Raw genomic sequence first — 26,746 nt, 5'->3', positions numbered from 1 at the left:
CTGCAGGTCATTACAGTGTTTTAAAAACTTTTGTCTGGTATTCATAGTAAAAAAAAAAATACTTCATATTGCAGCCCTTTTTTTGTGCATGCACAAAAATATAATCCAAACAAGTTTCTTATGGTGCATTCTGAAAGATATTTAAAAAATAAGGTTTGAGTAAATACATCTTCTATGTCTATCAATATAGACATAAAGCAAATATGCAATCAAGAAATACATGTTTTCAAAGTTATGTAATTATATCCATCTCTTTAATTATTTTTAGTGTCCTGGCTTGATGATTTTTGTGCTTATGCTGGGAATATTGCTCTCCCTACCTCACATGGATATCAAAAGGACTAAGTAATTCTTAATACTTTTTTTTTCATTTCATGTTCTTTGTTTTCATAGAACCTTACATTCCCCAAATTCCTTTATGCATCTGTAAAATGAGAGTTTCTTCTACCTTTAAAGTTCTGTGCATGCATGGATATTTACATTAAATTGTTTTTTTTTCAACTACCTTCAAGAAGAGCAGCCAGCCAATTTGACTTTTTCAATGTCCACTAAATTTCTCAGTGCAACCCTATAATTTATTTATTTTGATTTATTACAAAAATTTGAATTTTCTGTCATGCAAATTCAGACTAAAGTTGCTAAGATCAAGGAGGGGAGGGTAGTCTTTTGTTCAAAAAGTCATCTTTCCACCTGTGCTTCTGGTTGGTCTTGTGTATTTTTTTTTTTAAGACTTTGTTTTGGTTGGTGGAGGCAGGACGGAGGAGAGTTCATTATTCCTGTAAACCAGGGGTTGACAAACTTTCTGAGAAGGGCCTGATACTTTCTCTCTCAGGGTCTTTTTTTTGCTATTTGCCTCTTTTAAAAAACAACTTTATAAAAAAAGTTAAAAACCATTTCTCAGCAATGTAAAAACTCTACTTAGCAGGGGGGCTGTACATCACAGCCAAGGAACACCAGATCTGGCCCAGAGGCCATCATTTGCAGAGATACCTCCTGTAGACAGTTGTTCCTGCTTCATGTGAGACTGTGTCAATATGCTAATATGCTGATAAACCAAAGTTCTAAGAAATTTGTTGTAATTTTAATTTTCAAGATATTATATTGAAATCCTGTTTCTCCTTAATAGAACAAACACAGTGCTTCCTGATACTTCATTCTCTCCCCTACCTCTCTGCCCTGCTTTGACAAAAGGCGAAAAGTGGGTTTCTGCATCTGGCATTAGTTTCAAGGTTGTTCTGAGTACACTCAGTCCTGTGTGGTGGCAGTTAGTGTGGTAAGAGGGGTAAGAGAGGCTGATATCAGTTGAGATGGAACCTTCTGGCCTCAGGGCTTGTGGGGGAGACTGTCTTTTTTTTTTTTTTTTTTTTTTTCATGTTCAGGAATTGTTTGTTTTTGAGACGGAGTCTCACTCTGTCTCAGGCTGGAGTGCAGTGGTGCGATCTTGGCTTACCGCAACCTCAGCCTCCCAGGTTCAGGTGATTCCCCTGCCTCAGCCTCCTGAGTAGCTGGGACTACAGGTGTGTGCCACCACGCCTAGCTAATTTTTGTATTTTTAGTAAAGACGAGGTTACACCATGTTGGCCAGGCTGGTCTCAAACTCCTGGCCTCAGGTGATCCACCCACCTCAGCCTCCCAAAGTGCTGGGATTACAGGTGTTAAGACCACACTTGGCCTGGAATTTTTCTTTTTAGTGCATCCAAAAGCGTGGCTATTCTCTGAGTAATCAATTCACACCAGTGATCCCACCAAGGATCTGTAACCCAGAGCACCAAATTGCTCATTAAAATAGTAAAGTGTTAATGTGGACATTATCTTGTTACATTATTGTCTCAGGTGTGAAACTGAGATCAGAGGGTTCCTTGGTAAACACAGAATTGGGATTTAAGACCAACGCAACAATGTCTATGACATCCATAGGGATTTGTGTGTCAAGCTAACCTGAATAGTTGCTCCAGCTCACCTTCACCAAGACAATGCAGGAGATAGCAGTGTCCCACCCTTGTGGGCTTGTGTTTATCTTCTGTGGACTAAAGATCCTGGCCTTGAACCCCACCAGACATAGCTACCATGTGGCTTGCAGCCTGTTTGTATACATACTTTAAATAAATGGTTGACTTGCATGTTGACTTGTAGACTACTTTTTTCCCTCCACTTAGCAATATGAACAAAATGATACTCTAAATCAAAGTAACTCTTGTTTTCTAAACTATAAACCTTCAAATTTCTTTCTTTCCCTCCCTTCCTTCCTTCCTTTCTTTTTTTCAGCGTCTCACTCTGTTCTTTAGTGCAGTGGCTCAGTCGCAGCTCACTGCAGCTTCGATCTCCCAGGCTCCAGTGATCCTCCCACCTCAGCCTCCCGAGTAGCTGGGACTATAGGTGCACGCCACCACACCTGGCTAATTTTTTTGTAGAGACAAGGTCTCACTTGGTTGCCCAGGCTGGCACATTTCTTTGTGATTACATAGGGTGGAATTTCCAGAGCTTGCCTGATAAGAATCAGTGGTCATCTAGAATGCCTATAATAGGAAGGAAAGTATTACCTTTTTTCTCCCTTGTGTCAGAGGTAAGCTGGAAATTCTAGGTAATTCTTTGGGAAATATAGCACCTACTTAGGATTGCAATAAGAAGTTAAGGCTCACTAACTTCCATTGTTATAATTTGATCTTCATTCAATCACTGGGTAACTGTTGCGTTCAAAGCCATGCGTTGTATTTTGTATCCACCTAAATATCAGAAGCACAAGTAGAACTAAGTGAGCCCATTAACATCACCTGATCTTCAGATCATTTTTTAGCTGCAGAGTCATCCTTCCACCCCTGAGCCCCATAGAACAGCGTACAGATGGTCCTCGACTTACGATGGCGTTACCTTCCGGTAAACCCATATTGTAAGTCAAAAATACACTTAATGCATCGAACCTACAGAATATGATAGCTTAGCCTAGCCTAAAAATGCGCTCAGGACACTGACATACCCTGCAGTTCAAAATCCCCTAACACAAAGCCGATTTTATATTAAAGTGTTGAATATCTCTGTAATCTATTGAATACTGAAAGTGAAAAACAGAATGTTGGTATGATACTCAAAGTCTAGTTCTACTGAATGTGCATGGCTTTTGTACCATTGCAAAGTTAAAAAGCCCTAAGTCAAGCCCTCGCAATTCGGAGACCATTTGTATATGGGCCTCTGCTAAATGACACTTGGAAGTGGTGCTGCTTTGATCAAAGTGAGGATGCGGGCTCTCACTTGGCTCCCTTTGTCAGGCACCAAATTCTGAAGCATCAGCTCAATGATGAGAGGCTTGGCGGTGTGCTGTTTGGAAAACCTCAAGCTGTTTCATCTTTTTCATTTTCCAAATGGGGAAACCTGTATTTAGACTGCAACCGGCCAGAGGTCACACAGATTATTTCCTTGATAAGATTTGGAAAATACTGCAGTATTATCAGGGGCATCTTGACCAATCCTGAGGTGGGTTACTTTGGAAAATGCCCTATGCATAAGCCAGAATGGGTGCAGTGGGTGTCAGTGGAAGCTAAGGAGTTGTAAGAGCTGTGAGGCAAAAATGGGGCCTTTTTATCTCTACAGCTAATCTCTAATTCATTGAATACTGAATGTGAAAAAGAGAATGGTGGTATGGTACTCAAAGTATGGTACTACTGAATGCGTGTGGCTTTCATACCATTGCAAAGTTGAAAAGTCCTAAGTCAAGCCCAGGCAAGATTCCCCAGTTCTCCTCCTCTTGTCATCCTTTACTTACCAGGTCTGTAACCCTGATGGACTAGAGAGGGTAATCTATAATGTTCTTACCCACAAAATAGGGATTCTAATAGTATCTACCACGATCGGGGTATGGAAATTACATAAGATGCTACATGTAAAGTGCCTAGAAGTACCTGGTCATAGGACCTGCTCAATACATTTTTAGCTATTACTGTTATATTCCACAGGACATGACTGGTCATAAGCATCATGCTAGTGGCAGTTCATGGGTGATGCCCTCAGTGGAAACTGAGGCACCATCCTCCAGCATGTGTTGTATGGATTGAGCCAGAGTTCAACAAACTGGCTTGCCAGCCAAATCTAGCCCACTGTCTGCTTTTGAAAATGCAGCTTTATTGGAACACGGCCATGCTCATTCACCTTTGTAGTGTTTGTGGCTGTTTTTGCCCTATGATGGCAAAGTGGTTGCACCAAAGACCATTATGACCTACAAAGCCTAAAATAGTTATTATCGGTCCTGTGTGTAAAGTTTGCAGATCCCTACATTAAACGAGTAGTTCCTGCCTGCTTCCAACAGTTAGAATACACAGGTCCATCAATCAAGCAATATTCGCTTCTCTCAATATCATTCCCATTAACCCCTCTTTAGAATTTACACTCCTGTTTCTGCAGCTTTAGACTCTGCCCGTTTAGATGCCCTGGACTTAAAAAGTAGGAGGACGTGTCCAACCTGGAAGTACAGTGAGGGTTCCACTGAGTCTGATACTGCCTGCCACGTGGTCTCTGGGATTTCCACACCTGTGGAAGAGCAGGCAGAGAAAGGAGATGTGTTTGTCATCCTGAGAGGCTGGGGTTACTGCTACATAATTGGGCAGAGATTTCACAGAGATAACTCAGTGTTTCCATGCTCCACGGCTCTGTAAGGGCAAGGTAACCAAGGGCTCTGAGCCCTCGAGATTGAAGGTTCAGATCAGCGCACCAGGCAAGCAGCTTAGTACAGTTGAAGTACCAGCCGACAGCGAGGGAGCTCCTGGAAGGACATTAGAGGGTGAAGTTATTACTACAGCTGTGTGACCAGTGGCAACAATGGGGACTAGGTAGTTCCATTCCTATATTGTGTTACCTAGAGATTACAGCTGGCCTCTCCCTCAAAAAGTCCAGGGTGTGCATGAGTGGATCTGAATGGTGCAAGGGGTGGACTGAAGTAGACACTTTCATTGCTGTCTCCTATCTGATTTTGGTTGCAGCTCTGGTGGACAGTTCATGTGAGCTCAGATCTTAGCATCCCACCCCTGCACCACACATCTCTTCACTTTCTGCTCCTGGGCTTTCTCCAAAGCTGAAAGAAGCTCACCTTGTGTGCAGGTGTAGCCTGGTAACATCCCAGGAGCACCCCTCAACCAGTAGGGATTGGGGCCAGTGGGCAAATGACCCAGCCTTAGTTCTTCAGACGGGGGCATTCTGTCATGTTCCCAGAGGAGGAGCTGAGGCCCTGCTGCTTAGGAAACACACCGGCGTCCTGGCATTTCCTCCTTTTTTGTGTTACTTTGTTCCCTACTCCAGTTTTTGAATATCACCTCCCAAATAAACTATGAAATACTTGAACCCAAAGTGCTTGTCTTATCTCTTCTTTCAGAGAAACACAAACTAAAACACATTCTCATTAAGACGAGAAATAAACATGTCTACTTTGGCTGCCTCTCTCTAGCATGGTACTGTCCTTATTTACAGATGAGATGGTCTTCTACATAGAAAACCTAAAGAAGGCCAGGTGCGGTGGCTCACGCCTGCTAATCCAGCACTGTGAGATGCTGAGGCAGGAGGATCACTTGAGACCCGGAGTTTGAGGCTGCAGTGAGCTGTGATCACCACTGCACTCCAGCTTGGGCAACAGAGTGAGACCCTGTCTCTACAAAAAAAGAAAGAAAAAGAAAAGAAAACCTAAAGAAACACAGAACCAGAGCTAGTAAAAAACTTCAACAAGTGTGCTGAATATAAGATTAATTTATTTAAAAATTAGTAAATTAATTTCCTTTATAATAGCAATAACCAACTAGAAACAATAATGAAAGAGAAGATTCTGTTCATCATAGCAATAAAACCATAAAACAGTAAAGCTATAGTAGCAATAAGACCATTCATATTAAACAATGCATAAGATCTTTAAGGAATTTTAAAGGTCTTGACGGACCTTTTAAAGGACATGATGGAAGATCTGAATAAAGGGTGCATTATCATGTTTCTGATATTGTAAAGATGTCAATTCTCCTCAAACCAATATATTCAACGCAATTCAAATTAAATTTCAATGAGACTTTTCCCTCTTTTTCCTCTAAGGAACCCATCAAACTTATTTTAACATTTATATGGAAAAAAATGATTCACAAAAATAGCTTAGTCCGATTTTGCAAAACAAAAAATAAACCCAGAGAGGCATCACCTCACCACATCTGAAGACATACTACAAAGATATAGTCATAGAAGTCATTGTACAGGAACAATCCTAGATCAGCAGAACGGGATAAAGTGTTCAAAAACAGGCACATATATGCATGAATCTGAAATATATTGACATCATGAGCTACTAAGGTAAAACGACTTTTTTAATAGAGTGTTGATAAAACTGGCTCATTATGTGGACAAAAATACCTACAGACCTTTTATACAAATTTAAAACATTAAATGTGAAAGATAAAACCATAAGTTTAATAAATAAAAATTGTGTGACCTCATGGTCTCTTGAAGACCCCCAAAACAATGCGGCAAAAACATTGATGAATTTTTCTATGTAAAAATGAGGGAAACATTGGCAAGTTATCAGGTGGATAAGAGATATTAACAGGGTCCAAACTGATAAGGGATTAATATTTAAACAATACAAGAAACTTGTAACAAACGATAAAAAGACCTTGACCAGCAGAGAAATAGGCAATAAACAGAAACATACTTGTTTCCCATTAGATCGAATTGCAAGATTTTAAAGGTTTGATAGGTAATTTACAAAGAGAAACCCTAATGACTAATGACTAGTTGAGGGGATGGATATTCAACTTTATTAGGAATCTAAGATATGCAAAATGAGGTCTCACTTTTAAAACATTCCATCTAGCACAGATGAAGAAGCTAGGTGGTGCCAGTGCTGGTGAAAGTATGGCTAAATCCAGTTTTCTCATGTATGTAGTGGAATCGTAGGCTGGTGCAGTCATTCTGGAGGGCAACCTGATGGTTCTGGGTGAGTATATGCCTGGGATTCAGCACTCCAACTTCTGTTATATACCCACCGAGAAACTTATGAAAAGTCAGTAAGAGAATTTACAAAGATTCTTTTTTTTTTTTTTTGAGACAGAGTCTCACTCTGACACCCAGGCTGGAGTGTAGTGCAGTGGTGCAATCTTGGCTCACTCCAACCTCTGCCTCCTGGGTTCAAGCAATCCTCCTGCCTCAGCCTCCCGAGCAGCTGGAACTACAGGCATGCACCACCACGCCTGGCTACTTTTTTGTATTTTTAGTAGAGATGGGTTTTCGCCATGTTGGCCAGGCTGGTCATTAATTCCTGGCCTCAAATGATCCACCCACCTCAGCCTCCCAAAGTGCTAGGATTACAGGCTTGAGCCACCGTGACCAGCCCAAAGATTCTGAAATAGAATTAGGGCCAACCATTCGCTATAGTAATAGATACTATGTCAAATGTGGCTGCATGCTAGGAAGTGCTACACAATCAACAGGGTAACTTACTAGAGCTGCACACTGCAGAAGAAATACACCTTAATAAAAGCATTGTAAGAAAAAGAAAGGTCTATAGTATACATCTATTTATTTAAACACATAAACAGGATTTATTTTTCTACATATCCAGAATTATCAGAATGGGCCCCTATGAGGGCAATGGCAGAAATGGGTAGTCTGGAGATGGAGAGCATGTAATAGTGGTAGATAATATAAAACGCCTAAAGCATTTATTGGGGCTGATGTGAGAAGCATATGGCACAATACACATAAAAGGACCTTCAAAAATATAAATTGTGTTGGGAGGCCGAGGTGGGCGGATCACGAGGTCAGGAGATCAAGACCATCCTGGCTAACACGGTGAAACCCTGTCTCTACTAAAAATACAAAAACAAAATTAGCCGGGTGTGGTGTCAGGCGTCTGTAGTCCCAGCTACTCAGGAGGCTGAGGTGGGAGAATGGCATGAACCTGGGAGGCGGAGTTGCAGTGAGCGGAGATCGCGCCACTGCACTCCAGCCTGGGTGACAGCACGAGACTACGCCTCAAAAAAACAAACAAACAAAACAAACAAATATGTATAGATATATAAATTGTTATGTACTCAGAATGTATTGTATTGGCAATCTTAATGGTAAAAAAGAATTATTGACCAAGAAACGGCTTTGGTTTATACAAAGACTGAACAGATTTTGCTTGGTCTTATTCAAAGGAAGGGATTTCAAGATGAATCAGGCAACATATAATGGCCTGAACATGAAAACATTTTTATTTTGAACTCAGCATGAAACTTGGAGGACTGCTTTTCAAACCTTTAAAATCTTATACTTTGATCCAATGAAAAAAAATGTGTATTCTTCATTTAAAGAACAGACTAGGATAAAATAAATAAGGCATTAGAAAATTTCATCATGTGTTTCTAGTTTGTTTTTTCTTAAGTTCAAAGACTGGACTCAGATTAAACAGACAACAGTGAACAACTTTTGAACCTGCAACTGCACATTCAACTTAATGGTATGTTCAGATTTGTTTGATAAGCTAATAGACTGATCAGGATAAATAAAACAATTTGTGTTGACAGCAGTAGCTCTATGACCATTCAATACATCTCTTTAGAGTTGAAATTCATAGGCGTTTGGATTTTCTGGGAGCACTGGCTGTCTCCATTGCTTAAGGAATATTGCATTTCTCAAAGCCGTTTTGTTTTCCAAGCTACTGATGTCTTTTAACTATTACTTATAAATAGAAAATAACTTATAATTTTCAACATAGCTCTTACTTGGGTGACCAAATATTCCCAATGCTTCCTCCATTTGGCAGGGTCATGGTGAAAGGTGCAGCATATTCAATTTTTTCATCCCTCTGGATGCAGTAGAGCTCAAGTGGCTTATAATAATACTGCCATTTCAAGGGCATGCCCTTACCTTCTTACGATTTACATGATGTGATAAGGGACCACTGGTCGTTTTAAGTACATCTTTGAGTTGACCCTTTCCCCAATAGTATTAGATGTTTCTTTCTTTTCAAAATGCAAACACCAACTTGAACCAGACAAATATTTCTTTTAATCAGTAAAAGAACCAGCACAGTTCGTAAGAGAAAAAACACAAATGATCCATATGAAAAAATCAAACCCTTATGGAACTGTAAGATTGATGCCACTTTCACTTACTGACAAATATTAATCTTCTCCATCAAAGGTTGTTTTTTCCTTTAAGAGATGAGTGGTGGTCTGTGATTTTTCTAAAAATGTTGGCCATGTTCTACTGTCTTGAAACTTAAATTTACATCCACTAAAACATCTCTACCTCTTAAAGTTTTTGTTTATTGGTTTTTGTGTGTATGTTTTTTGTTTTTTGTTTTGAGACAGGGTCTCACTCTGTCACCAAGGCTGGAGGTGCAGTGGCGAGCACCACCATGCCCGGCTGATTTTTCTATTTTTTGTAGAGATGGGGTTTTTGCCATGTTGCCCAGGCTGGTGTTTACTGCTTTTTAAAGTCTAGAAGAAACTCTAAGAAATCTTGTTTTTTGTGAAGCAGTATCTGAGATTCAGCAATTTCTTCATTTTTGTGCATAATTTTCTTCTGTTTAAATTTAAATAAAAATAAACACTTTTTACAAAAAAGTTCTCTGTGTTTGCAGGTGGACAAATGGGTACTCATAAATTTGGTTATAATATGACTTGGTATAAATGTTCTGAAAAATTGGTAATATGTGTCAAAACCATGTGTTCATATAGATTAACCTAATTATTACATTTCCAGATATTTCTCCATACAGAATTCCATGAAGAAATAACCAGATATGTGAAAAAATTTATGTCGACATATGTTAGTCATGGCATTAGAGGTAATAATAAAAAACGGGAACAATCTAAATGTCCAACAACAGGGCAGATGTATTTTGGGTAATTCATATGAATTAAAAATGTATAACAACTTATGAATTAATTGACATGTATCACATATTCATATATTATATATATTTTTTTAATTTTAGTGACAGGGTGTCACTCAGTTCAGGCTGAAATGCAGTGGTAGTGTGATCATAGCTCACTGTAACCTTAAATTCCTGGGCTCCAGCAATCCTTCTGCTTCAGCTGCATAGCTGGGAATGCCGGCATGTACCACTATGCCCAGATTATTTTTATAGAGACAGGGTCTCGCTATGTTGCCCAGGCTGGTCTTGAACTCTTGGCCTCAAGCAGTTTTCCTGCCTCAGTCTCCCAAAGGTCTGGGATTACAGATGTGAACCACTGTGTCCGGCCTTCATAAATAATATTAATTTATATTGATTCACTCTGTAGTTATTAATAGAAATCAGGGTTTCATGGAATGTTTATGATACAGTATGAAGTGAAAAAGCCGTACACAAAACTGTACAAATAATAGCCCAATTTTGAAATACAAACACAGAAGACTTTTAAGTAAGTATTGAGTTATCATTTGGCAACATCATTCTCCTTTATTTACCTTTCAAATTTGCAGTTGTCAAGAATTCCTTTCCTTTTTGCTGATTCAACAGATTGTAACTTGCTGAGCAAGTCACTGGGCTAGGTACTGTAGTACCGCCTTCCATTTGTAATGGAAATTTCAGCTTTAAAGTGCTTTCATACATATATATTCTTACTGCACAAGCAAAATCCTATGAGGGAGACAAGTATTGATTTTCCCATTTGACAAATGAAGAAATAAGAGTCTTCAGAGAAACTGGACCAGTTGTCTTGGCATAATCACATGACTAGGAAGTATAGAGTGGGGACCAGAGTCTTAGCCTAGTGCTTGTTTCTTTATGCTTTTAAACTTATCTGTTTTATGGGTGGTCTGCATAGAGAGTCACCATGTGGCACAACTCCATGGAGCCCCATTTGTAGTATTCTAAGGGGATGGAATCCCTTAGGATTGAACAATGCGTGATCATACATAGTGTATAACGTGGGCACCTTGACCATGTGGCACTTCAGTGTATGCCTGCTGGTTTTCATCTACCAGTGTCTGCATTTCTTTGCCTACAGGCTTGCTCAGAAGCCAGCAAAGGCTGCTTTGTCTACTGGACGTGCTAGGGAATTGCTATCATTCTCCCAGAGTGGTCTTTCAACCAAAGTCCTGGCCCTTCAGCTGGGATAAGTCTGAATTGTTTGTTCTCATTTGTCCTAAACTGTTTCTCAGCATTTTACCACAGGAATTAGGCTTTGGCAGCCTATGCTGTTATGCAGCTAGACGACACGCCCTTTACTGGCACCCTCTCTTCTCCCCGTCCTTCCCACTCCACTATCCCTATTGCCTACACCTCTCAAATAAACCACCTGCCCTGGAATCTTCGTTTCAGGAAAATAAAAACAAAAATGCCATAAATGACAGCCCTGTGCTTAAAGGCTAACTGGGTACCTGAATTGTGTAGCTCGTGTAATAAACAGAGAAATGTACCAATTAATGTTTTCGGACATAGAGAAGGTGCCTTTTTCAAAGTCAAAGTCTCATGATAAAAGGCACATTACCTGTGACTACTTAGAAAACAGACAACTCTCACATCTGCTACTATATCAAGTTTTTATTAAGAAGTAAAGTGCTCAGTATTACACATTAATAACATTCTTGATTGTCGAGAAAGACTTGCGTATGTAATGTCTTTTTAATAATACCAGTACACAGGGAAAGATAATAGGGAAGAGATGAGGGGGGGAGTTCTCCATGACTAAAGAAGAAAAATATATGTAATTTATGGGTAGAAAGGAGGAATTCTGCAAAATTTTGCAAGTGAAATGAAAAACAGTACAATAAAAAGTATCATAAAGAGACTTTCTAGTGACCATAATTGATATATGGCACATGGTCGATACACATGGATACCACATAATAGCTGCACTTCAAATTGAAGTTTGTTTACATGTAACAACATGGTACATATACATAAATATGTACAGTCAATATCCCTGGAATGCAAACTTTAGTATGTAGTAATAAAGAACTTTGTGTAGCATATTCAAGAGAAAGTAAAGATAGAGATGAAGCCATGAGGAAAAACTTACAGAAACCCAGTATGTTTCACTTTCAACCTGGAAAGGTCTATTTGCTCATGTTCTCATTGGAGATTGGACTGACATTCTACCAGTTAAATGAACAACTTGTGAAATTAAAATATAGCATTAAACGACAGGATTCTCTTGGTTCTCCAAGTGAGGGTTATTCAACAGCACTGCATGCTCTTTTGCTTATTAGCGCTCAAAATGTCACCTTACTCAACATTTCTGTAAAAGAAGATTTTTTTTTTTGAGAAATAGATTTCTCCCCATAAATTTGGGTGAGACCCTCTCGTAAAGAAAACAGTGTTGCTAACTCAAATTTTGGCTGATACTGTCTAATGTATGAACTTTTAATACCAAAACCTCTTTTTTATTAGACTGAGCTCCATTTGCATTACAAATTCTAGTTTTGAAACACAGGATCAAGAATACTTGAGTACTATATTTTTTATTTTTGCATTTTTTGTAGAGATGGAGTTTCGCCACATTGCCCATGTTGGTCTTGAACTCCTGGGCTCAAGTGATTCGCCTGTTTCGGCCTCCCAAAGTGCTGGGATTACAGGCGTGAGCCGTCATACCTGACCGAGTACTATATTCTTAAAATAGTTTAAAACCAAATGCTTTATGAATTTCAAAACTTTCTTAAAATTTTGCTTAAAATGAACATAATTGTTGGATAAAAACTTTCAGTGCATACTAAAAATTTAGTAAGTTGGTCTCACTAGATGAGTTATAACATTAAATTCAGTTGCAAATGAGTAGAGCCACATGGGAAAAAGAATATGCAGATAAATCTTTAGGCTAAACTAACCATTAAAAGAAATTAAACTGAGTGACAACTTAGGGCTCCTTCCAATTCTCCTGTGTTATGGTTAGAGATGCCATTTTATCCTATAACTGATCTTTGGTGGTTTTACTCAGCTTATTCAAATTAGAGCCAAAATAAGGTAAAAATTAAGTGATACAGTTAGTCCCACAGACATCAGATACGATCAACTTACAAAAAAGCATAGTATTTAACATTCATCTTAACCATTCACACAGATTCTATCATAGTTTGGAGTTCCTTTCCATTTTATCTTTTAGAAAAGTTTACCCCAGGAAGCTAGTTGAAAAAAAAGGCTCCTTTCTTAAAAGAAAGCTATGTATTAAGCTCATGAACTATGCCAGAGTGGAAAGGAATGCCCCATTTTCCTTCACACTCTTGGAAAAAAATAACAATACTGATTTTTGTGACTGGAAATGAAACTCAGAAGCCCTTTGACAGTTTTCTAGCTTTAAAAGGCTACTTCATTGTCAACTGAGAAGACTCAGTCATGGTGGCAACTGGGCGTACCGCTCAATACACATCATGAAGATTTTTTTTCTGTACTCAATATTTACACCTAGATTTCTTATATGAGAAAAAGAAAAAAAAATCTTTGAACCATGGGTAAAGTTTATATAAAATAAATTAAAGTGCAGAAGATTAGCAATCGGTCACAAAGACTAGCATCCTATGGTGGTCAGGGCATATAAATAGTGTGCTTGTTACAGCAATTCAGGACAGCCACTTCCTCACTTATTAGAAACACACATACTGAAACACACATATCATACGTGGACATTAGAACTCCCATTTCCACCTGCACCTTCCATGCCTTCTGTAGATTGGGAGGAAGATGGGCGGGAGCTTCTGGGGCGAGGTTGACCATTTAGTCCCACTGGCGTGCCTAAACCATGACTGATCTGGGAAGCTGCATCATCGGATTCCCAGCGTTCCAACTCTTCACGTACTAGCCGTTCCATCTGTTCCCTATGGATTTCACTGTCACGACCCAGCCTTTCATCCTAAAAAGGGAAAAAGAAACTGGTGTTGGGGGCAGTAGAAGGAAATGCCTTAGGAAGTCCAGGGACCAAATAATCTGTAGTTTGGTAAGGCTGGAGATTTACAGCATATAATAGCAAATCTCAGAGTTGCTGGAGTAATTTTTCACTTAATTCTACCCTGCAGTGAAGGCAGGACCATTAGCATATGGAGTATTAAGAAAGTAACACCTCCAGATTATAATTTTATCTGTAGTTATGGAGAAAGATAAACATCTCAGCCTAAGGGTTAGACAATATGACTACATTGATGTTTTATAGCAAGAGATTTTATAGAAAGAGTGTTTCTGTTTCAGAGAAAAAAATCTGAAAATGAGAGTAAATGGAAACATCATTGTGAATTTCTATAAACGTAAATTTTTTTTACTCTTCTTCAATACTTCAAATACAACTGTCAGCAACATATATTTTCATTAATAACACCATGCTCAGCAGCGGTGTTTTCAGCTCATGACTACTGACCTCGGCCACCCCATCCAACAGCCTTCCCAGCACCTCCCTCCTCTTCAGTTTGGCTCGCTCCATAATCTCTAGCTTCACGATCACGGCGTCAATCTTGGACACTATGCTGCCGATGGAATGCTCCATCCGGTCCACTCGTCTCACCAGGCTGCAAGGAAAACACAGTACAGAGGGACAAAGTGCTTGTCATTGTCTTTTCAGCCCCACTGGCTTTTCAAAAGGAAGTGCTAAGATTTTTTTCTTAAGCAACACAATCATTTGAAACACTTTCTAAGTTGTCTCAAGCTTTACAGATTAACTCTCGGATGCCGCTGGTAGGAGTGTTAACTGAAACAACTTTCCTGCAAGTCAGCGCGTATCAGAAGTCTTAAGAATGTATGCCTAACCCTTTAGTTAGACATTCCATTTTTAGAACATTTTCTAAAGGAAAATTTTATATATGTGTAATTTTTGGCTATAAAAGAGTGCTGCTTCTTAATCGCGGATCATTGAAAAATGGCTACATCAAACAATTGATGGGGGGGTAGGGCATGATGGCTCACGCCTGTAATCCTGGCATTTTGGGAGGCGGAAGTGTGCAGATCGCTTGAGGCCAGGAGTTCGAGCCAGCCTGGGCAGGATGGCAAAACTTCATCTCTAAAAAATAGGTGGGCATGGTGGCATGTGCCTGTACTCCCAGCTACTTGCGAGGCTGAGGTGGAAGGATCACCTGAGCCTTGGGATGTTGAGGCTGCAGTGAGCCGTGATCATTCCACCGCACTCCTGCACTCCAGCCTGGGTGACAGAGTGAGACCCAGTCTCAAAAACAAACAAACAAACAAAAAACACCCAACAATTGGTAGGAAATTAAATAATCATTGTTCATCCATACAATAAAATTCTAAGGAGACATCAGACATTATACTGTGGCAGACTATTTAATAAAATAGAATTAGATTTACAATATATTAAATAAAGCTTGAAAAACAGTATGAAAACAGCATGTTCACTTACAATTCTATTATTTTGAACTTAAAAAATGTATACAAATACTTTAAAAACTCGTAAGCCAAAGACAACCTCTGCAATGGTGGCAAGAGGGTTCTGTAGACTCTCTCTTTAGTGAAATAACTGTAACTGTTGAAAATTATTTTTTAAAACTCAAATATTAAAAATTTCTAGAAACTTTTAAGGGTGTACAGCAAATGAAAAAGCATTTATTCAAGAAAATCTACTAAATTTTAGTATGAAGAGATTCTGTGGCACTGAAGCCATAATCTGAGCCTTCTCTCCTGTCCCCAGCTCATGTGATAGAAGCACAACTTCACATGGGTGCAGCTAAGAGCACAGGGCTCCCTCCTCCCCCAACTTCCAGTCTAGGGCTACAGTATCTCCCAGGGAGGGGCAGGCTGCCAGCATTTCTCATCCTAACATTTCCACTCTTTTTTTTTTTTTGAGACAGAGTCTTGCTCTGTCGCCCAGGCTGGAGTGCAGTGGCGTGATCTTGGCTTACTGCAACTTCTGCCTCGTAGGTTCAAGTGATTCTCCTGCCTCAGCCTCCCGAGTAGCTGGGACTACAGGTGTGCACCACCATGCCCAGATAATTTTTCTATTTTTTAGTAGAGATGGGGTTTCACCACGTTGGCCAGGCTGGTCTCAAACTCCTGACCTCAGGTGATCCGCCTGCCTGCCTTGGCCTTCCAAAGTGCTGGGATTACAGGTGTGAGCCACTGTGCCCGGCTTTCCCACTCTTGTTACAAAAGTTTTTTACACCTTTTTTTTTTTTTTTTTTAATAGAGACAAAGTCTCGCTATGTTACCCAGGTTGGTCTTGAACTCCTAGCGTCAAGTGATACTCCTGCCTTGGCCTCCCATAGTGCTAGGATTACAGGCATGAGCCACCATGCCCAGCCTCAATGTTCCTACTCTTTTTTTTTTTTTTTTTTTGAGACAGAGTCTCACTCTGTTGCCCAGGCTGGCGTGCAATGGTGTAATCTTGACTCACTGCAACCTCTGCCTCCAGGTTCAAGCAATCCTCCCACTTCAGGCTCCCGAGTAGCTGGGATTACAGGTATACACAACCCACCAGTTAATTTTTCTATTTCTTGTAGAGATGAGGGTCTCACCATGTTGCACAGGCTGGTCCTGAACTCCTGGCTCAAGCAATCCTCCTGCCTTGACCTCCCAAAGTGCTAGGATTACAGGCGTGAGCCACTGTGCCCAGCCTGTTCCCATTCTTAAATGCATGTTGCAGAGGTTCTAATCCTGTTAAGAGTGGCTAAGGGGAATGGGGCTCTCTTCTTCCACTCAGTTCCCACTTGTAGGGTGGAGTTTCCATGCCAGAAGAAGCAAGGTGAGAAAATCAGAGACTGCCATCTGAGCCCAGTGACTTGTTCATAAAGCAGGATGCCACAGAGAGGTGGGCCACTGTCCCTGGCTCTGTAAAGCAGTAGCAGTTTTGCTCATGGGGAGACACAGGTCATAGGAATATAGAACTCTTCTCAAGTGAATGGACTTTATTTGGAATGAAGCGTGAGGAAATTAAAGACTAACGATGCTCTTGAAAACAATGGAGATTGTGGGGATAAGCATTTACAAGGAATCTGGTAGCCTTATGAGATAAACAAATTACCAGCTAGTTCACCAGAGAGAACCAGGGAAAGAGACAGCTAAGAAGACAGTTAAAGACTGGCCTCAGGGGCCAGGCGTGGTGGTGCATATCTGTAATCCCGGCCTTTTGTGAGGCTGAGGTGGGTGGATTGCTTGAACTCAGGAGTTTGAGACCAGCCGGGGCAACATGGTAAAACCCCATCTCTATAAAAAATGCAAAAATTAACCAGGCATGGTGGCGTGCACCTGTAGTCCTAGCTACTTGAGAAGCTGAGGTGGGAAGATTGCTTGAGCCTGAGAGATTGAGGCTGCAGTGAGCTGAGACTGCACCACTACATTCCGGCCTGGGCAACAGAGTGAGACTCTGTCTCAAAAAAAAAAAAAAAAAAAAAAAAAGACTGGCCTCTAAAACTAGCCCTGCAAAGAGGCCTGAATTTAAGTGGATCAGACTGTGGAGCAAATTACATCCCAAGGCATTCTGGAAAACAATAGACCAATCAGTAAACAATGAAATGTAATAACTGGGTCTAATATCCACAGAGGCAGGAGGTATAACAAAGAGGTCAGAGAAAGTTAATGAGCACGCTGCTAAAACCACTGTCTTCCCAGAGTGACTACGTACATGGCCACAGCTGCGCCCTCTAAGGAATAAAGTCAGAGGCAGACACTGTGGGGAAACAGACTGTATGAAAAAGTAAACAAGCAAAGAGAAATAAAAACAAGTCCTGGGGAGGAAAGGGAATCACTAGCCAGAGTTCCTACAATATATTATCTAACATGTCCAATCTTTAACAACAACAACAACAACAAAACAAAACAACAAAAAACAAAACAAAAAAACAGGAAAATGTTCCCATACACAAGAAGAAAAAAAAAAAGACAACTGAAACTGTCTTTGAGAGGGCCCAGATGTCAGACTTAGCAGACAAAGACCTGAAGGTACCTATTATAAATATATTCAAACAGGTTAAAACAAACAAACAAATAATAAAAAACCCCACCATGGTTAAAGAAATAAAGGAGGCTGGGTCCAGTGGTTCATGCCTGTAATCCCAGCACTTTGGGAGCCTGAGCAGGGAGGATCACTTGAGCCCAGGAGTTTGAGACCAGCCTGGGCAACTTAGACCCCATCTCTACAAAAAATAAAAATTAGCTGGGTACAGTGGCTCATGCCTGTAGTGTCAGGTACTTAGGAGGCTGAGGTGGGAGGATTGCTTGAGTTCAGGAGTTCGAGGCTGCAGTGAGCTAGGATCATGCCACTGCACTCTAGCCTGGGTGACAGAGAGAGACCCTATCTCTTAAAAAAAAAAGGAAGTTATGATGACATTGTCTCATCAAATACAGGATATCATCAAATACAGAATAAAGAGACAGAGATTGCTAAAAAGAACCAAATAGAAATTCTGGAGTTGAAAAGTATAATAAATAAAAAATTCAGGCTAAGTGCGGTGGCTCATACCTGTGACCCCAGCACTTTGGGAGGCCGAGGCGGAAGGATCACTTGAGGCCGGGAGTTTGAGACCAACCTGGGCAACATAACAAGATGCCATCTCTACAAATTTTTTTTTAAAAATTAGCCAGGCATGGCAGCATGTGCCCATAGTCCTAGCTACTTGGGAGGTTGAGGCAGGAGGATCATTTGAGCCCAGGTGTTCAGGCTGTAGAGAGCCATGATTACACCACTGTACTCCAGCCTGGGTGATGGAGTGAGACCCTGTCTCCCTGTCTCTCTCTCTCTCTCTTTCTCTCTCTCTCTCTCTCTCTCTCTCTATATATATATATATATATATATATATAAAATAAATAAATAAATAAATAAATAACTAGAGGAGCTCAACAGAGATTTAAGCAAGCTGACAGAAGAACAAGTCAGTGAACTTGAAGATACATCAATACAGACTATGCACTCTGAGGAACAGAGAGGGAAAAAAAATGACGACGAACAGAGCCTAAGAGAAATATGTGATACCCCTAAGCATATGCATAATGCGGGTCCCAAAGGAGAAGAGAAAGTGAAAGAAGCAGAAAAAACACTTTCTAAGTAGGATGAACTCAGAGATTTATACCCAGACATATCACAGTAAAAATAATGAAAGACAAAAGCAAAAAAATCTTGAAAGTGGTGAGAGAAAATTGAGTCATCATGTACAAGGGGACCACAGTAAAATTAGCACCTGTCTTCTCATCAGAAACAATACAAGCCAGAGGAAATGAAGGAGAAAGAAAAACATTCTCAGATAAACAAAAAATGAAAGAATTCATTGCTAGCAAACCTGCTTTACAAAAAATACTAAAGGAAATTCTTTATGCTGAAAGCAAGTGACTCCAGATAGTAATCAGAATCCACATGAAAAGGCAAAGAACACTGGTAAAGATAACTGTGTAGGTATAAAATATAGTATATATGTACATTTCTCCTTTTGTTCCTTAACTGATTTAAAAAGCAGTTGTGTAAAAATATGTACATAATTGGATCTGAAGGTCTATAATAGAAATGTAATATATTTGACAATAATAGGAGGTAGGCAGTAGCAAAGCTGTATCGGAGAAAGAGAATGACGACAGATGATAACTTGAATCCAGAGGAGCAAAAGAAGAGAATTAGAAATGGTAAAAAAGTAGGTTAATATACACATTTATAAATATATACTTCCTCTTCTCTCAGCTTCATTAAGAGATATAAAATTATATACTATATATTACACAGTGTGTTATAAAAATGTAACATTGTTCTAACAATGTGATTTGCAACATATGTAGATGACTATATATACATATAGATAGATGAATATATAGCACAAAAAGAGGGAAGAGGAAAAAAGCTAAATAGAAATGATTTCTATATCTCACTGGATTCAGTTAATATATATCTGAAGTAATTTTTCATAACTTAATTGTATAAACTAAGTCTTAGAGCAACTCCTGACTAAAAAAAATGAAAAATCATTAAAAAAATTTAAATGTTATACTTGAAAATATTCACTTAATGTACAAGAAAGCAGTGAAAGAGGAACAAAAAAAAGTAAGCTAGAAAACAAAAAATAAAATAGCAGACAGAAATCAACTACATCAATGATAACATTAAATGAATGGATTAAGCAATCTAATCAAAAACAGAAATTGTCAAACTGGATAAAAAGATAAGATCCAATTATATGCTGTCTACAGGAGAGACATACTTCAGACTGAAAGATATAAATAAGTTTAAAGTAAAAGGATGGAAAAAGATTTATCATGCAAACAGCAACCAAAAGAAAGCTGGAGTGGTTACAGTAATATCAAACAAAAAATACTTAAAACAAAGAATTTTACTAGAGATAAAGTGGATAACATCTTGTAATGAAAACAGGGTCAATTCTTTTTTTTCTTTAGCCTCATTAAGTTGAGAGAGAAAATAGGGTCAATATATTAGGAAAATATACTAGTTATAAATATGTATGCACCCAACAACAGAGTTCCAAAATACACAAAGCAAAACCTTACAGAATTGAAGGGATGAACTCCAACTAATAATACTTGGAGACTTTAATACCCCACTTTCAAACGTGAATACCACATCTAGGCACATCTAAGATCAACCAGGAAATGGGAGACCTGAATAAAACTGTAAACAAACTAGACCTAACAAACATCTACAGAACACTTGAACAGCAGAATATTCATTCTTCTCAAATGCACAAGGAACATTCTTCAGGACGAACCATATGTTAGGCCATAAAAATATATAGAAACATTGATAAACACATGCAAATAGAGACACAAACACTGATATATTAATAAACATTTTTCATTGGTAGAAATATGTGAAATGTTAATGTTTTCTTTTGCTCTTATTTGCTAATTTTTATAGTAAACATATTATGTAAGAAACAAAACACCAATTGACAAGTTTTTTTTTTTTTGAGACAGAGTCTTGCACTGTCGCCCAGGCTGGTGTGCAGTGGAGCCATCTCGGCTCTCTGTAACCTCCGCCTCCCGGGTTCAAGCAATTCTCTTGCCTCAGCCTCCCAAGTAGCTAGGATTACAGGTGCCCACCACCATGCCCAGCTAATTTTTTGTATTTTTAATAGAGATGGGGTTTCACTATGTTGGCCAGGCTCGTCTCGAACTTCTGACCTCATGACCTGCCTGCTTTGGCCTCCCAAAGTGGTGGGATTACAGGCATGAGCCACTGCGTCTGGCCAGTATAAGTTATTTTTAAAAGCTGGATGATTAGTAATGGAAAGGAGTGAATTCAGAGAGATGAGGGAACTGCCTGGTCTCATGTGGACTCTTGTCAACGCAAATTCTGCCAATTCCTTTATACTTACACTTGAAACTCTTCGTAAGAAACGCCACTAGAAATGCTTCCCCTCCTTCTGGAGCTATGTCCGCTATCTTCATCGTCATCCTCCTCAGAGTCATCCAGGCTTCGAGGGAAACTTCGGCTGCTCATGGGACGTGGTAAAGAACTGTGATCCAAATCCAGGTCCTCCTGAAGAACAAGGGGTCACTGAGTGAGGAGCAGAACACTGAGACCCCACAGAAGCCTCACCAAGGACTTGGGCAAGCAGGAACTGGGTGCATGCCATTTACCTGGGATTTCTTTGTATTTAACACCAGGCTGGGACTCCTGCATTTTTCAGTTTCATAGATTGGCAAATTTAACTAACAGCAAGGAATAGCCAACTTTTTGTTTGAACAAGAAAGAACATTAAAAACACAGCAGGCAAAGAAAAAACTAAATGAAGAAATATGGGCCAGGCATAGTGGTCACACCTGTAATCCTAATACTTTGGGAGGCTGAGGCAGGAGTACTGCTTGAAGCCAGGAGTTTGAGACTGGCCTGGGCAGCAAGGTGAGACTCTGCCTCCACAAAAAATTTTTTAAAAAATTAGCCAGGCATGGTGATGCATGCCTGCAGTCCCAGCTACCTGAGCTACCTGGGAGGTTGAGGTCGGAAGATCACTTGAGCCTAGGAGTTTGAGGCTGCAGTGGGCCATGAGCCATCTTAAAATAATAATAAAATAAATAAAGAAATGAAGAAATATATTACAGGTTGAGTATCCCTTATTTGAAATACTTGGGATCAGAAGTGTTTTGGATTTGGGATTTTCAAAAATATTTTGGAATGTTTGCATTATACTTACTGGTTCAGCATCCCTAATCTGAAAACCCAAAATCCAAACTGCTCCAATGACAGCATTTCCTTTAAGCATGACCTTTGACTATCATGTTTGTGCTCAAGAAGTTTTAGGTTTTGGAGCATTTCAGACTCACATATTTGGGTTAGGGATGCTCAACCTGGATCGCCTTCTTTTCATAAAAGATAATACATTCAACAGCTCCAAAGTAGGAAAGATGTAATGTCAGAATAAGAACTTTGTCTAAATAGAGCCTTGTAAAAATTTTCCTCATTTTCTTTATGCTTAAATTTCACTGTGACTGGAGAAGTCTGTCACCTACTAGCACTGTCTGTGGAGTGGCATTTAGAAACCACTGTCCTAGACTTCTCATAGGAAAGTGGCTTTTGTAATAACATTCATCTGTGTTCTCTGTACCTCAGTTACCACAGATTTTTGTTGTTGCTGTCTAACCATTTATTTTTGAAAGTTAATGGTAAAGCTTTGAATTTTTTTTTCTGACTATAAAAGCCCACTTATGTTTATTTTTAACTATTTTGTAAAAAGTATTCAAATGGAAGGCGGCTGTTAATTTTATTATAAATGTTAATAATTTAGGAAAGGCACGGTGGCTACTGCCTGTAATCCCACCACTTTGGGAGGCCAAGGTGGGCAGATTGCTTGCAGTCAGGAGTTTGAGACCAACATGGTGAAACCCCATATCTACTACAAATACAAAAATTAGCCGGGCATGATGGCATGTGCCTGTAGTCCTAGCTACTTGGGAGGCTGAGGCAAGAGAATCGCTTGAACCCGGGAGGTGGAGGTTGCAGTGAGTCGCGATTGTGCCACTGCACTCCAGCCTGGGAGGCAGAGCAAGACTCCATCTCAAAAAAAAAAAAAAAAGAAAAAAAAGTTAACAATTTAAATAGCCACTAACTAACCAGAATAATTTCACATCTCTTGGTAAGTCATTTTTTGTTTTCTTCACTCTCACGGACATTGTGGACTCTGCAGCTAATCAGGCTTCTCTTTTCAAGCTGATTACCAGCAAGCTTAGGGCCCAATTTGTAGCCCAATCTTAATAAGCATATGTGTTTTTATGAATGCATTTTTAAGCTTCATTAATAATCCATTATTTTTACTTTTGTTTTGCTTGCTTTTCATTTTGACGTTTTTATATCATGCTAACCACCCATTTTTATACATAATTGTGTTATATATTCTTTCTGGAATAAACAGGGTACTAACACATAAACCGACTGAGAGAGAGAGAGAGTGTGGTGGGGAATGGGCAAGAGACTCAATAACCCACTACTTCTATAGTGTTTGATACATCTGTGGTGTTGTAGGTACCAAATCAAATCCGGTTCTCCTAAACCAGACCCACCCTCTCTTTCTCCAAGTCGTCTCTCATCTGCTGATGTTCATGTTCGGTCAGTTCTTGGTCTCCATCTTGGTCGTACTTTGTGAATATTGCCTCAATCTCTGCATCAGTATGGCCCTTCCTGAAATTAGAGAGAGGATACAGATAAAAATCATTCCTTGTACCCAGTTCACCCTCAACACAGAGACATCAAAATGCAGGAGGAAAGGAGAAATCACCAAATGGGGGCAAGTTTTCCTCTTATAACATGTTCCAGAAAGATACCTGCCTCTGGAAAAAAAAAAAAAAAGTATCTGTATGAGCCCTTGGGCTAGAAATACTCTTATCACCAGGAATTTATCTTTAGAAGCAGGAATTTTTCAGAACCTCAGGAAGCATGATTCTCACCCTTTGAGATCTTGTCGAAGTTCGTCAAAGTTTAACTTGCCTCCTCCTTGCCGCAGACTCTCTGAAATGTCATCCACGGTATTTTTTTTCAGTTTTAGTTTGACCAAAGCTTTATGGTAGCCCTATCAGAGAGAGAAAAAATAAAAGACTTGGTTTAGTGTATTCTCCTTTTGCATCTGTTTTACTTTCCATTCACAGTAGTAACTACTACAAACCTGGTGTACATTGGCCATTCAACAAGTACGTGCTGGATGAATGAAGAATTAATGTATCCAGTTTTCCATAAAACACTTGTGGAACAGTTACATGGAAAAAGTCAGGGTCTTTCAGTAAGTCATGAAGAACTAAAGGTCTTTTACTCATATGTGTATTCAAGTTTATGTGATAGAAACAAAAATTACTATATATGCTATAGCTGTCTGCCTCAGAGCATAAAGTACTGTGCAACAGTTCTTAGGAATACCAAGAAACCCGAATCATGAATTGCATTTTTATTTTTTATATTATCTATCTTCTAGACAGTAATTTCCTTAAGTGTGTATAAACAAACAAACAAACAAACAAAAAACCCAGTGAAATGTAGATGAGGATTTTCCCTTTTTTTGAGACAGGATCTTACTCTGTCACCCAGGCAGAAGGGCAGTGGCGTGATTCTGGCTCACTGCAGCCTCGACCTCCTGAGCTCAAGTGATTTTCCCAACTCAGCCCCCAACAAGTAGCTGGGACTACAGGTGTGAGTCACCACGCCTTGCTATTTTTTTTTTTTTGTAGAGACAGGGTCTCACCATGTTGCCCAGGCTGGTGTTGAACTCCTGAGCTCAAGCGATCTGCCTGCCTCGCCTTCCAAAGTGCTAGGATTACAGGGGTGAGCCACTGCCCCTGGCCGAGGATTTTTCATTAGCGAACTTTAGACCTGACCTTGCTTTGCACATAGTGCGGCACTGTAAGTGACCATGCAAGCTGAAATTGTGCAAAATGATCTGAATAATCAGTGGGAAGAATTACAATTGTTCTGTGATCTTTACAACTTTTAATCAAAACATTAAACACTCCCTTAGTGTCAGTTATAAATGTATAGGGAGCTTAAAAAAGAAGAAAACTAATATTGATTTAATACACTAAAATGTAAAACATTAGAAACATTAAAAACTAAAGTGTTTTATTTCTTTGTAAAAAATGTATCCAGAGTAGTTTAAACAGCACTTGCCTTGTTTTCATTGTATAATATTACACTGTACACTTTACAATGTGGAGTGAACTTCTTTTCTATGCATTAGTGAATTGTCATATTCCTTCTTAAATGTGGATGAGCTTCCAACATATTTTTCTTTTATTTATTTTTGAGACACAGTCTTACCCTGTCACCTGGCTGGATTGCAGTGGTGCAATCTCAGCTTACTGCAACCTCCGCCTCCCTGGTTCAAGCAATTCTCGTGCCTCAGCCACTTGAGTAGCTGGAATTACAGGTGTGCACCATCATGTCTGGCTAATTTTTGTATTTTTAATAGAGACGGGGTTTCATCATGTTGATCAGGCTTGTCTCGACTTCCTGGCCTCAAGTGATCCACCCACCTTGGCCTCTCAAAGTGCTGGGATTACAGGAGTAAGCCACCATGTCCAGCCCCAACATTTTTTCTTTTGTACTTTCATTATTGTGAAATATCTCTAATAAGACTTCCCTTAATGTGAAGTTTTTTGCAGGCATCATTTCCTCAAGACATCTTCATCTGTTTTATCACAGCTATTTTCCTCATTTAAGTTGATAGACCTGCCCTAAGTTCTTCTGGCTCCATATCTGGATCTCTTGAATGATCGCAGTGTCAACACTCCTATTTCTTCTTCACTCAGCTATTTCTTCTATAAATCCATTACTCTGTTTTGATTTTCACTTCCAGTGTTACCATTTTTCATTTCTTTGCTAGCCCATTCTCTTTTTCTTTTCTTTTCTTTTCTTTTTTTTTTTTGAGACGGAGTTTCGCTCTTGTTACCCAGGCTGGAGTGCAATGGCACGATCTCGGCTCACTGCAACCTCCGCCTCCTAGGTGCAAGCGATTCTCCTGCCTCAGCCTCCCCAGTAGCTGGGATTACAGGCATCTGTCGCCACACTCAGCTAATTTTGTATTTTTAGTAGAGATGGGGTTTCACCATGTTGGCCAGGCTGGTTTCGAACTCCTGACCTCAGGTGATCCATCCGCCTTGGCCTCCCAACATGCGTGAGCCACTGCACCCATTCTCTTTTTCAATTATCCATTTTTGTAAAATGTCACATGGGCTTATTACTGGAACACAAGGAAGCAACACTACATGCTTTCTTTGTTTGTGAATTGGATAGCAGATGCTCAGTGACCAATTAGTAACAGACTGAAAATAGTGTCATGACTGACCAGTGAGCCTGCTCAGCCTGCACATCTGTTACTCAGGTAACTGATCTATACACTGAAGAGCTAGCAGTGGAGTTTGTACTTTGTGCTGTTACTCAGAGTTAATATACTATGATAACTGAAATTTGAACTGTGTTGTTGAAGGTGGTGTTACATAACAAAACTGGGGTAACCAAAGTTTGTGTGTATCAGAATTGTGCCAAGTGAGGAGTGCTTGCATACACACTGGAGATTTGCTAAAATGTAAGCAACTGTTATGCGGAATCAAGATAATGTGAATCTTAGGTCCCATCCCAAGGACTTTGTTTTAAGAGGCTTAAGTTTTCTATTATAACATATATCACAGATAACATAATCCTAAGGCTTGGACTAATAAAAAAAAAAATTACAGTTAAGGAGCCACTATGACTTAGCAAAATGATGTTGGGAAACAAACTGTGTATTTTAAATGTGGTTATTTGTTGTTGTATACATTTTATACTTTAAACCAAATAAAGAAGTTACATTGAGAAGAACAAAGAGGCCCAACTTTCCTGTCCTGCCCTTCTATTTAACAATGAAACCCTTCCTGAGAAGGTGCATAAGTAAAAGTTCTCAGGCCCCAGGC

At 39.5% G+C, this 26,746-nt stretch overlaps 1 protein-coding gene across 5 annotated transcripts in view; it reads right to left on the bottom strand.

Annotated features, from left to right (window-relative positions):
* The window catches only part of PKD2 (polycystin 2, transient receptor potential cation channel), a 70,143-nt gene continuing 54,873 nt past the window's right edge, over nucleotides 11,477-26,746 (bottom strand). For all 5 annotated transcript variants that reach the window (NR_156488.2, NM_000297.4, NM_001440544.1 and 2 more), the window contains 5 exons: nucleotides 23,759-23,880; nucleotides 23,375-23,492; nucleotides 21,193-21,356; nucleotides 14,295-14,442; nucleotides 11,477-13,796 (listed from right to left, as the gene is read on the bottom strand). Coding sequence is in view for 4 of the 5 variants with exons in the window: in NM_000297.4 (NP_000288.1) it covers nucleotides 13,560-13,796; nucleotides 14,295-14,442; nucleotides 21,193-21,356; nucleotides 23,375-23,492; nucleotides 23,759-23,880 (789 nt within the window). In the remaining variant the exon portion in view is untranslated. The remainder of the gene's footprint in view (nucleotides 13,797-14,294; nucleotides 14,443-21,192; nucleotides 21,357-23,374; nucleotides 23,493-23,758; nucleotides 23,881-26,746) is intronic.

This window comes from Homo sapiens, chromosome 4 (genome assembly GCF_000001405.40).
Source record: "Homo sapiens chromosome 4, GRCh38.p14 Primary Assembly".
Taxonomy (NCBI): domain Eukaryota; kingdom Metazoa; phylum Chordata; class Mammalia; order Primates; family Hominidae; genus Homo; species Homo sapiens.
This window is presented reverse-complemented; position numbering and strand designations above follow the sequence as displayed.